Source organism: Homo sapiens, chromosome 3, assembly GCF_000001405.40.
Source record: "Homo sapiens chromosome 3, GRCh38.p14 Primary Assembly".
Taxonomy (NCBI): domain Eukaryota; kingdom Metazoa; phylum Chordata; class Mammalia; order Primates; family Hominidae; genus Homo; species Homo sapiens.
Genome location: NC_000003.12, coordinates 186,500,917 through 186,513,857, shown reverse-complemented (window position 1 = coordinate 186,513,857; position 12,941 = coordinate 186,500,917). Strand labels below are relative to the sequence as shown.

Sequence of the window (12,941 nt, the reverse complement as noted above, 5' to 3'; positions counted from 1 at the left end):
ACATTGTCCCTTAACTTGTTTCCCTATGCCCCAAAATATTTTCAGCTACAGATGAACTTGAAAGGCTTGATGAGACTCAACTCTTGCGGGAGCTAGCACAGTTCACACTGAAGCCTTGTACTTCATTTGGCAGTGGTCTCAACCTTGGCATCTCATTGGAATCAGCTGGAGGCAGTTTTTAACCATCTCTATGCCCAGGCTACATCCCAGGCATTTAAAATCATAATCAGTGGAAATGGATCCCAGACATCAGTAGTTAAAGCTCCCCAGACAATTCCAATGTGCAGGCAAAGTGCCACCCATTGTATATTTCATCTCATCGGCAAACCCATAGCATTGTTGATGCCATTGTTAGCGATCGTGATAAAACTGAGCAGCAGGATCAGCTTGTGGCAGCTTTATCTCTCCATGGAAAGTCCCCCATTAATAAACCGTCTGATTGTTTCATCTGCTTATGATTTTTGCCTAAACCAAATGGGATTGCAAAAAGATGACTTTCTACTTCTGCACTCTATTCAAATTTTTAAGCTTTTATGAAAAAGAACTTTCCCTTATCAACCTGGGCTTTTTGCTTACCCTGCAATACAATCCAGGCAAGGCAAAATAAATGCTCAATTTTTTTTCCAAGGGGTTAATCTCAAAAAGAATAATCGTATCTCTTTCTGAGATCGTTTGAAGGAGATGGGGTTGAAGACAAACATTCTTTGAGGTGGAGATCACAGTGGGAGGAGGAGTGGGAGGCACATCATAATAGGAGGTCAGGTCACCCTCAGTGAGTGGGGTAGGTGGGAAGAAAATAGAAGCCTGGAATACGTGCTGCTGGGAATGTGGCAGGCAGTTAATTATCATGGAAAGAAGGAGTACCGAATGGCCAAAGATCCAGCTGGGATTAGAGTGTGAGTTTGTGTTGGAACCAGGGATGGCAAATTTCTACAGCAGTGTTCAGCAGTGGAAGAGGATTTACCCAGCCTGGCTAGCACTGGAGTTGCCTAGGTGGGGACTGAAGGATATGGGGGTGAGGGAACTAAGGACCCAGGCAAGGCCACTGTGACAGCAGCGTCACGGTTTCTCAGTTCACATGCGTGGTTTCCCCTGCCTAGAGCATTCTCATGCGGCTGACCTCACCCTTCAGGACTCATGTCAGATGCCCTGGCCTCCAGAAGCCATCCCTGGCTTTCTGTGTCTGAGCAGCTCCTTTTCTGTGCTTCCACAGTCCCCAAAGCCGCCCTATCACAGTTCATATCACCAGCAGTCCAATGTTTACTTGGTTGTGTCTCTTATTAGACTGTAAGTTCTAGTTGAAGCCAGTTGAGTCCATGAGAGAAACAATGTGGGCTTTGGAGAGAGGGGGGTGTTGAGAAATAGCAGTGGCAACAGAAAGAACTCCTAAGAAAACATCACTAAAAACGCCACTATTGATCTCGTAACTGAGGGGGACAGCACATACATAAACTCATGCTTTCAAGTTTTTAAAACATGGCACAGATTGTGCCGGCCCCTTGCACAAGCCCCTCTGAGATGTTTCTAACACATTGGGAATAAAATTGCAAAGGCTCTCCATGCCCCCTGAGGACTTCCAGGCTCTGCTACTGTATTGTCCTGTCTCACTCTGCGCCTGCATTAGTGGGCTTCACGCTTTCTCAATCTCTCCCCATATGAGCCACTGTAGAGCCTTGGCTCTTGCTGTTCCCTCTGCCAGGGAACACTCTTCCCCCAGATATCAGCCTCCCTCTCTCCCTCTCTTCATCTGGTCTCTGCTGAAATATCACATCCTCAGAGACAACCCTCCCTGACCACCCCCTTACTCTCTGCCATTATCTGGCTTTCTTCTTCACGGTGCTGACCACCACGTGGCACTGTATTACTACTCAGCTGCTGATGGCTTACTGTCTGTCTCCCCAAGCAGAATGTGACACCACGATGGTGGGACCTTGTTCTTGTCCCCGCACTGTGTTTTCAGCACCTAGAACAGTGCCTGATGTGTGGTGGATATCCAAACATTATTAGTTGAATGTATGAACACACACCAAGTGCCTTTGAAAGGCAAAGAAAAATTTGAACTAGGAATGGGGTACAAGTTTGTCAGTACCCACAGCACCCCTTGAGCTCCACGGGATGAAGCACTGAGCCCCAAACAGGGGCAGGGCCAGGGCTGGAAGCAGCAGCAATGAGGTTCCATCCTCAGCACTGAGAACAGGGCCAGGGACATGGGATGGGTGAATGGAAGAAACAAGAGCCATGAAGATGCGTGTGAACCATGGGAAGTAGCCACTATGCACAGGGACATTGGGCACGGACACATGTGTTCAGCAAGTGTGGATTAACCCCACCCACACACCTATGGTCTCGATACTGAGTCAAGCACAGAGATACCTAGAGGAAGAAGACAGAAGTCTTCTCAAGTAGCCCGCAGAATAGAGGGGAAAACTGAGACATCAACAAGTAAAATGAGGTGTGACTGGTGCTGAAGTGGCCATATGATGTGGTGGTTACAATAAGCAGTTTGGGCCAGAGAGTAGCTCAGATTATGACTCAACCACACACTATCTGAGTGAGCTTAAGCAAATTATTTAACTTATTTTACAGAAGGGGAAACCAGTGACAGATTGGTTTCCTATAACCAAGGACAAATACCTGTAGATATGCTCAGTAAATCTCACTAAACCAATTATAGATTGGTTTCCCCATCTGTAAAATGGACAGCAATAATACCTATTTCATAGCATTGTGAAGATAATATGAGTGTGTGTGTACATAGATAGATAGATAGATGATAGATAGATAGACAACAGTACTTGGTACATAAGAAGTACTATATAAATGTTGGCTGGTATTTAATATTATTGTAAGAGATGTGTATATATGTGGAGACAGTGAGGGCACAAAGCAAGCAGGGGCAATGCTACCTGGGGTGTGGGAGCGGGCAGAGAAGACTCATACAGGGGAACCCCTGGAGCTGAAGCATGAGAATGAGTAAGTCTGCCACCTGCAGGGGAGAGGGGCCGTGTGAGGGGAGTGGTACGGGGGCTTGGAAAGCACTTGATCATATGTGGAACATCGGTTCAGAGGAGACAAGGGTGTAACAACCTGTCACTGGCAGGAGCAGAGGGTCTGGCCGGAGCAGAGCACAAGGCTTAGACCACCTCTGGAAGGGGCCCTTCCGAGGGGCCTGATTGCTGTTTCCAGCCTGTCCAGTGGAAGCAGCCACAGGATGGCTCCATGTCCCCAGAATAAACCAGGGCCCTTTGCAGCCTGACTGATTTTTCAAAGAAAGAAATGCAATTTGCTGGTGCTGGACAAGACATTAATTTTGTTCTGTGGGCTGCATGAGTCATTTAGGAACAAAGCACGAAATGTAGATACACTTTCCACAGCCTCTGCATGTCACTTCATGCCTGCCCAGGGCTGGACATTATTTCACGCAGCTCAGAAGACACACCATGGGAAAGGCCAGGGCTGGGCCCCTCCGAGCTGGAGAAACTGTGTCATAGACCCCCTGGGTCCAAACTCAACCCAACCCCATTTTGCAAGTTCAAAGAGAGAGGGGAACAACTGCCTCCTTTCATTCCATGGTGGGATTTTGGAGCCAGCAGGTGTGTGCTCCCACCTTGGCTGTGCTTCTTCTCATGTGACCTGGGACACCTCCCAGGACCCCTCAGCTTATCAGGCTTCCCATCTGGAAAGGGTGTGCAGGGACCTCGAATCAGAGCTATGATGAGGATGAATGAGATAGCACAACACTAAGGGCAAATACCTGCAGACTCAGAAATAGTGCTCAGTGAATCTTCATCCTGCTCCTCCCAACAGGTGTGGAGCACGGAGAAGATGGTGTCCTTTCTTATGTCTCTCCTCGAAGCCTTCAGGCCAGCCCCTTCCCTTCTCTGTACCTCAGTGTGGATCTGTGAGAAGAGGTACTCGAACCTGGTTGTCTCTAAGCACTCCATTGCCTTCCAGCGCTGTAGTCTAAACTGCTATGACTGCGAACAAACTTGCCTTGGGTGATGTAAAGAATGTGTTTGTGCCACTAATGGCTCCCAGCAGGTGTGAAATGAATCCAGGTTGTTGGTTCCAGTGGGCAGGTATTATTTGAATTGACAGTTACGTATTTAGGTTATGTATTTAGGGCTGAATCACAGACAGAGGCTGGAGAGAGGAACTAGCCCCTCCTGGGAGGAATGTGGCCCCTCCCAAGCCTACTCTCAGGCTTTATTGGTCCCCTGTGGGAAGAAGATGAAAGGACATTAGCTGTGTCTCAGAACAGGCGGTTTGTACCTGCCTAGAAGCAGAAGCAGAAGGAAGGCCCTCCCCACTCAGAGCTGTGTGACAAAATATCAGCCTTATTTCAGGCCCAGGACAAATTCAGCCTCCTCTAAGAAGTAGGTAGCCTGGCCTTCTTGAAAAAGCACATGTTTCAGACTCAGAATCTTGTCCTGGTTGTACCTCTTACTGGCTATGTGACTTCTGAGCAAGTTATTTAACCTTTCAGAACCTCAGTTTCTTCATTTGCAACATAGGGGTGACAATAATCCCATTCCTCACAGAGTTGTATAGATTAAACAAGGGGAGTATCCTACACATAGTAGGTACTCAACAAATGGCAGCTGTGTGAAGCCTTTCTAGGGCCCCCTCTGGTTGCAAAATCTCATCCTTCTCTATATTTCTATGATAATTGCTCAGTGGCATACTAGAGGCTCAGGACTGGTCATAGATTTGCCTTCATCTCTGTTAAATTCTAAGTTTCTAGGGAGTGAGGATTGCTTTAATTCACATCTGATCCCCCAGTGTGCCTGGCACAGAGTAGGTGTTCAATTAAAGCTTCCTGAATTAAATGGGATTCAAACTCCCAGAGAAGAAACCATATTTCTCTCCTTGCCAACCTCCTCGAACCAGCCTCGCTTCCTGGCTCCTGCTGTCTAGCCAGGTGCCACTGAGCCTGTGTGAGTGTGCAGGCCTGGCCCTCAGGACTGAATATGCCATGGGGACCCAGATCACAGGACAAACTTGTGCAGCGGGAAGGACTCAGGCCAGCCATGACCTGCCCAGGGGCCCATCTTCTGTCTCTTTAGCAATAAATCGTGAGGTGAAACAATCAAGCCCACCACACTCTGTTTAGGCCAAAGTAGCTGTTCTCGTCGTTTCTAATGGAAGCCTCCAGCAGAACATCACAGTTAATTGCAAAGAACGGTGAGTCACACAAAGCGGCCTGGAAGGAGAGGGCAGCCACTGTGAAAGGACAAAAAGTCCCACCAGAAGGCAGCCTAGGACCAGCTCCGGTGTCCGGGGAACTGCAGGGCATTCAGGGCGAAGGGCAGAGAATGATCATCATACACATGCTACCCCTTTAGGTGCCAGGGACCAAACATAGGTGATCATTCTATAATTGCCTTTTATTATTGTATTTGGGGGTTTTAAAAATACAAAACAAGTGCAAATAATATAACACATCTGTATACATAATTATTTCATCCTTGTGGCTGTGCTGTGGAGTGAGACATATCAGCCTTATTTATGGATATGAAAACTGAGACCTAGAGATCTTGTGGTTTGCCCAGTGTGCCAGTGGTAGCTGCACGATGTGACCAGAGCTGTCTACCACCAAAGCTCTTGCTTTGTTCTCTGAGCCATGGTGTGGTCCCATCTCCCACTCAGTGTGGGAATGGCCTCTAACATCCCTGACATTTGTCTTGCAGCCATGGTTTAACCTTTTCCAGCAATGAGGTGCTGATCACTTCACAAGCATAATCCTCCTTAATATCTAGCACTTTGATGATCAGTATATGTATATATCAGGCACTATTCAATGAAGCTATATTGAGCCTTTCTAGGACCGCTTCCAGTTGGAAAATGTTTTTTCTCCACACTTCTATGGCAATTGGTCAGTGCCATAGTACAGCAATATTAACCCTCACAAATACCCTCAGAGGTGGGTACTATTATTTCCTTCCCTTTACAAATGAGAACAGAAAGACTCGGTAACTTACAAAGGTCATGTGACTGTTATACAGTAGGGCTGGGACTTGTCCATGGTTGCTGCCTCCTAACGCAAGACTCTTGTCCACTATTCTGTCAGCCTCCGAGAAGTAGCCTACGTCGCTGCTATACTGCTTGGTTTAAAAGATTTTCCTGGCCAGGCGCGGTGGCTCACGCCTGTAATCCCAGCACTTTGGGAGGCTGAGGCGGGTGGATCACGAGGTCAGAAGATCGAGACCATCCTGGTTAACACGGTGAAACCCTGTCTCTACTAAAAATACAAAAAAAAATTAGCCGGGCGTGGTGGCGGGCACCTGTAGTCCCAGCTACTTGGGAGGCTGAGGCAGGAGAATGGCATGAACCCGGGAGGCAGAGCTTGCAGTGAGCCGAGATAGCGCCACTGTAGTCCAGCCTGGGCAAAAGAGCGAGACTCCATCTCAAAAAAAAAAAAAAAAAGATTTTCCTTAGTCTGATCCAAATCTGCTGCCCTAGAACTTCTACCCATCGGTTTCAGTTTTGCCCTATGATGCAGAAAGATTCTAGTCCCTCTTAGATGTGTTAGTGCTTCAGCTAGCTGCCCACTTGACTCTTCCTCTCCATCTGAATCTTCTCTTTCTTTGTTTCTGATTTCCCTCTATCTCCTGGTGTTGAAGTGCCTTGGTGGGGGCACAGAGCTGGCCCCAGTATTCCAAACATCATCAAAATGACTCTCCAGATTGACTGAGCTTATTGGGAGTCATATCACCCCATGGGTCTTGAGTTGTCTAAAACCTCATTTTCTGTTGAACATGGTGAGTCATGCGACCCTCAACCTGTGCTTATGCACTTAGCTATGAGTCAGGGGGCTCCACGGTCCCACTGGCTCTGCTCTTGCCTCTCCAGAGGGTTCAGTTCAGCAACTGAGCCTCAGCACAAGAGCTTCTACACCACCCCTTGGGGTACATGCCTTTTCTGGTCTTCCTGTTGTTCTGAGAGCCCCATAAGGGTATCCTCATAGATGAGGCTGAGTGAGAGCAGAGCAGAGCACTGATTCACAGCATGACCCCGGGTTGTGGATCATGGGCATGTGGAGTGAAACTCTGTCTCACCTCAAGGCTGCATAGGAAACATACTTAGGGCTATTGCAAGCAATATGAAGGTACCACTCATGGGAATAATGAGGATGGATTGCAAGCTGTCTGATCTGATTCCTCAGCACTTACTTGAATACATAGAGGAAGTTCTTCTCTTAGCCCGTCATTAAGCAGCCATGTCTTGAGGGAGAATAAGGGAGATAGCAGAAAAGTCCTTTGACTTTTTGATCTCTTGGTGACTTGACTCTTCTATCTTGTTGCTTATTTCTAAATAATTCAAAGAATGCCAGGGAAGGAAGTCGTCCTTGGTTTTGGCCAAGTCCTAAAACATGATCTATGCAGAAGAGGAAATTTATTAGAAAGTTATCAGAGAGTTCATGGAAGTGCTGGGAAGTCTGGAAGACTGCTTGGAAACAGGAAGAAATCAGGACAGGATGTACTTGACAGGGTGTTGCTTCTCCCCTCTTGGCATCTTTGTGTTACTCTGCTCAACATTCAAAGTCCCAGGGGAGAATATTATTAGTTGGGCTTAGGTCACATGCCCACATGGCTGTACTGGGATGAGAGAGAAGGAATCCGATGAAAGGAGCCCACAGTAACCCTTCTGCTTCTGTTATTTGGGGGCAAGACACACCAATCTGTCATACACCAGTCTGAAAACAATGGGGGAGAGGATTTCCTAAAAGGAAACTAGGATGTTATTTACTTATTTTTATTTTTATTTTTTTGAGATGGAGTCTTGCTCTGTCGCCCAGGCTGGAGTGCAGTGGTGCAATTTCAGCTCACTGCAACCTCTGCCTCCCAGGTTCAAGTGATTCTCCTGCCTCAGCCTCCCCCCATAGCTGGAATTACAGGCATGTGCCACCATGCCCAGCTAATTTTTTTTGTATTTTTAGTAGAGATGGGGTTTCACCATGTTGGCCAGGCTGGTCTCGAACTCCTGACCTCAGGTGATCCGCCCACCTCGGCCTCCCAGAGTGCTGGGATTACAGTTGTGAGCCACCATGTCCGGCCCTAGGATATTTTCAATTAAGAAAAGAATGCTGGATAGCCAAAGTGAAAATACACACACACACACACACACACACACACACACACACACAAAACCCCGTCCATAAAAACTGGAGCTCAAATAATTCGTAATTATTTAATAAAAGAAAAACATCAGAATCTTTCATCTTTGAAGGCACAAAGAGTTAGTATTCACAGAGGATAGCTATCTTATCTCTCCTCTCTGGAGGGTTCAGAAAATGTTTGATCTCATCCTGGGGAAAGCCAGATGATAACGTTCAATGGAGCAAAGAAAAGGTGCACACAAATTGAGGTGTCTTACAAAACAAATGGAAGTTTCATATCCTGCTACAAAGGGCCAGAGGAATATTTCCCATAAAAGCATTGTTGCGAGGGATGAATGAGATAAGGATGTAGACCTCTGAGTATGATAAATGGTTAGTTCTTCCTATTAGTTGTTGTTTCTGATGTAGAAACAGCGTCTTTCTCCCTATATCTGGTCTAAAATCCAACCTGATAGGAGACGTTTTCGTTTGGGATTATGGAAAGATACAACAGTTCTGGGGGTTGAGTTCAGGGCTAATTTTCTGAAGGATAAGAGAGCAAGCCCCAGCCAAGAGCCAAGAGAAAGCAATGATGAGGAAGCGGGCAGTAGCAGCCATTTAGACTGGTTGCTTTGTGGGACTCCCTTCTATTTGTACATTATTAGGCTTTCCAACAGGGGACAATAAACAGTATGAATCCAGACAGGATGAGGGTGGGTTGCACAAGCAGCTGGGCCCACTGAACTAGAGCCTGACTCAAAAAAGGAAGGAGGCTGGGCGCAGTGGCTCACACCTGTAATCCCAGCACTTTGGGAGGCCGAGGCGGGTGGATCACGAGGTCTGGAGTTCGAGACAAGCCTGGCCAATATGGTGAAACCCCATAGCTACTAAAAATACAAAAATTAGCCAGGCATGGTGGCAGGCACCTGTAGTCCCAGCTACTCGGGAGGCTGAGGCAGAAGAATCACTTGAACCTGGGAGGTGGAGGTTGCAGTGAGCTGAGATTGTGCCACTGCACTCCAGCCTGGTGACAGAGCAAGACTCCATCTCAAAAAAAAAAAAAAAAAAGAAGGAAGATCTGCCATGGTGTTAGGACCCACCATCCGTTCCTTCTGGTCGAGTCAGGCTGTGTCCCCATTGACTGGGGCATGATTGCACTTCTTGTGATCCGGTAGCATGTTCCCAGGCCCAGGGAGTGTCCAGGCAGTGCATCAGATTATCAGGCATTGACCAGAGATACCTATAAGCTGAGAGCTACAGCCATTTTGGCAAGCTCTGAAAACCCAGAGTTGGCGCTGTTCATGGGGGAGGGATCTGCATGGTGACTCGCTGAGCCGATGGTTTTTGTGTTCTGTTTGGAAAGCCTACACATATGTGTTTAAACCATCCCTATGCATCATTAGCCTGCTCAAAATATTGAAGAGGGCTCACTGGGTCCCTTGTTGGCTCCATAACCGGTAAAACATCCACCAACATATCTCACTTGGGGCATTGTTGTTTCAAATCCAAACAGGTCATCCTTCTAAAGACCTCAATCCCGTGCTTGCTCCATGGCTGGCCACTCCCAGTGATGGAAATTCTTCCTGTGACTTCTACCCTCTGACTCTAGTTCTGCCTAAACGCATCCCCTAATTATGGCAAATTCCTTTTCCGCAGATGAACCCTCACATCTATAAATCCAGGTGTCCTTAAAGCTTTTCTTTCCCTACTAAGCACCCTCAGCTTCTTAAATCATTAACTGGCAATTTTTCCAGATCCTTGAGCAGATCCTGGCCACCCTCCTCAGGCCTCAGCCCAGGAGGGTTTATTAACCTTTACTGTGTCAGTAAAGGCAGCCTGCATTGTGGTGTTACTCCTGCTTGTCTGCTCTGGAAGTTTTTAGATATTGAGGGTCTCACTCTTCCTCCAGTCCTAGGGAGCTAAGGGTCAGGGCTCAGTTTGGTTGTCCCAAGCTCAGGCAATGGCTATTGTTTGATTTGGCCCTCCCTTGACATACCAGCTGTTCAGTGCTTTCCTTCCAAGCCCCCCACTTCTCCCAGGGCTGAGTATGGGTGGTAGGCTGTGAGCTGTGAGATTCCAGGATTGGATCCCACTAATTTTGTTCTCTGTCCCTTTGTCAAAGACATTCGAACCAGAGCAACTCATCTTGAATAAGTGCTGGGTAAAATAAGGCTGGGACCTGCTGGGCTGCAGCCCCAGGAGGGTAAGCATCCTTAGTCACAGATGAGACAAGAGGTTGGCACAAGCTGCAGGTCACAAACACCCTGCTGATAAAGCAGGATACAGTAAAGAAGCCAGCCAAAAGCTACCAAAACCAAGATAGTGACAAAAGTGACCTCTGATCATCCTCACTGCTCATTATACACTAATTATAATGCATCAGCATACTAAGATTCACTCCCACCTGTGCCATGACAGTTTATAAATGCCACGGCAATGTCCAGCAATTACTTTATATGATCTAAAAGGAAGAGGAATCCTCAGTTCTGGGAACTCCTTTCCCCTTTCGCCGGGAAACTCATGAATGATCCACCCCTTACTTAGCATACGATCAAGAAATAACCATAGAAAGAGCCACTCAGCAGTCCTCAAGGCTGCTCTGACTATGGAGTAGCCATTCTTTTGTTTCTTTACTTGTCTAATAACCTTGCTTTCACTTTACTCTGTAGACTTCCCCCGAATTCTTTCTTGTACAAGAAAGATCCAAGAACTATTTCTTGGGGTCTGGATCAGGATCCCTTTCTGATAACACTTTGACATCCCCAGAAGCCCATGCTGTAGGACCTGGCTCAGATGCAGAAAAGACAGCAGTGGTAGCCTCTTAACTCCTGCTATTTGTCCAACACCCACCCAAGTAGGAGCAAGTCTCCTCTGAGCCCAGAGTGGTGACAGGCTCTGTGCAGCCTCGTGCAGCTCTGCAAAGGCAGGGCTGTGGTTTTATTCTTTGTAGAGGACCTCAGTGGGGTAGAGATGACTGAAGGGGGGAATGTGCATTGGGCAGGAGCCACAGAGGAGCTGCAAAGCTGACGGACAAGTTGGAGTGCTCTCTGTGCCTCCAACTCTCGGCACCTCCCACCTTCCTTAGGCTGAGAAAACAATCCAGAGGCAGAGGAGGCTCCACTGCAGAGACAGGGCTTCAATTTTCAGCTGGGAACAGGCTCCCAGCTCCAGTTGGCCCCATTGTTTCTGGCCACTGTGGGGAGTTTATCAGAGGCTCTTGTAGAAGCTGTAATCTGCATTTCATTTTATGGATTTATATTTGCTTTGTTCATTTCCCTTTGTTTCCTCAGAGTCACTTTTGGTGTAAATGTTTCTTTTGAATATCCTTCAATAATACTAAAGAAGGAAGGAGTCCTCCCCCAACCCCTGTTCTATCTTGATGACTCCTAAGCCTGCAGGGACTAGGTACAGACACCCTCCCCCAGGCAAAGGATGGCAGCAAGAAAGAGCTCGAGGCGGTGAAGTGAGGGGTGAGGATTACTGAGTCCCTTCTAAGTGCCAGCCACCTTTATGTATGTAATCAGATTTAATTCTCACTGCAACCCTGCAGATAAACTTGATTATTGCCACTTCATTTTTTTCAGATGTGAAAACACAGAGACTCAGAGCAGTTAAGTTACTTGGATTACCCCCAGTAGTAAGTGGCAGAGTCAGGATTGGAATTCAATCTGACCCCAAAGCCTTTCTCCTCTCCATGGTGCCTTGAGGCTCAGAGGGGAAAGAGAGAAATGCTCCACCTCTCCAGCCCAGAGCTGATTTCCTCAGGACCCTGTCTTTTCTCATCCCTTGAAAAATCCTGTATTTTATATCTATGGGCTGATCCTCTCCCAGGTGTATAAATGAGCATCCTCAGAAATAAGGCATGCCAATGGGAGAAAGAAGAAATATGGCACTTCAGTCTGAAGAGCCCAACCCATTTAGACAGGCCCCTAGACTGCACTCTGTTCTCAGAGCCTCTGGGAAGGGCATACATGTTGGAAAAGCACCAGTTGGCATGAGGTGTTCTGACTGGGCCAGGGACTCATCTCCATGCCCTTCTGCAGGAGAGAATATTGTCTAGTGAACCCTGTGCTAGGGGGTGTAAATGTGGCCAATGCCCTCAGACACTTTGCATCTGTATTCTCAGCCAAACCAAGGGTTCTGAGTATTTGGAACTTGTCAAATGGCACAACCCTGGGATGTCAGAACTGGAGGGTTCGCTGGGGTTATCCCATCCAACTTCCTTATATAACAAGAGGGAAGTGAAGGAATTTGTCCAAATCACACAATTTGTTCACCCAGCAAGCTCCAGATTCCAAGTCTTTCAGGGACTCTCCCGGTACTCTGTCCTCTTCCTCGTGCTTTTCACTGGCCTAGGGGTCATGTCGGTTTCAGCTTAGAATCTCCAGGGGAGTGTTCAGGAATCCACATTTTAAAATGGCCCCAAGGTAATCCCTATGCCCATTAAAAGTTGCCCACATCAAAAAGTTAGAAAGATCTCAAATTAGCAACCTAACTTCACAACTGAAAGAATTAGAGAAGCAAGAACAAATCAACCCCAAAGCTAGCAGAAGATGAGAAATAACAAAAATCAGAGCTGGACTGAAGGAAATTGAGATACGAAAAGCCATTCAAAAGATCAATGAACCCAGGAGTTGTTTTTTTGAAAAAAATAATAAAATAAATAGGCCACTAGCTAGGCTAATTAAGAAGAGAAAAGATTGAAATAAACACTATTAGAAATGACAAAGGGAACGTTACTACTGACCCCACAGAAATACAAACAACCATCAGAAACTACTATGCACACAAACTAGAAAACCTAGCAGAGATGGATAAATTCCTGGACACGTATACCCTCCCA

The 12,941-nt window shown here is 46.9% G+C and overlaps 2 annotated features.

Moving 5' to 3' along the window:
* Nucleotides 1,842–2,271: an enhancer, noted in NCBI's record as "active region_20939". NCBI's record gives its function as "activates an Ori minimal core promoter by ATAC-STARR-seq in GM12878 lymphoblastoid cells {active_cell/tissue: GM12878}" and the evidence as "EXISTENCE:reporter gene assay evidence [ECO:0000049][PMID:35858748]".
* Nucleotides 2,832–2,921: an enhancer, noted in NCBI's record as "active region_20938". NCBI's record gives its function as "activates an Ori minimal core promoter by ATAC-STARR-seq in GM12878 lymphoblastoid cells {active_cell/tissue: GM12878}" and the evidence as "EXISTENCE:reporter gene assay evidence [ECO:0000049][PMID:35858748]".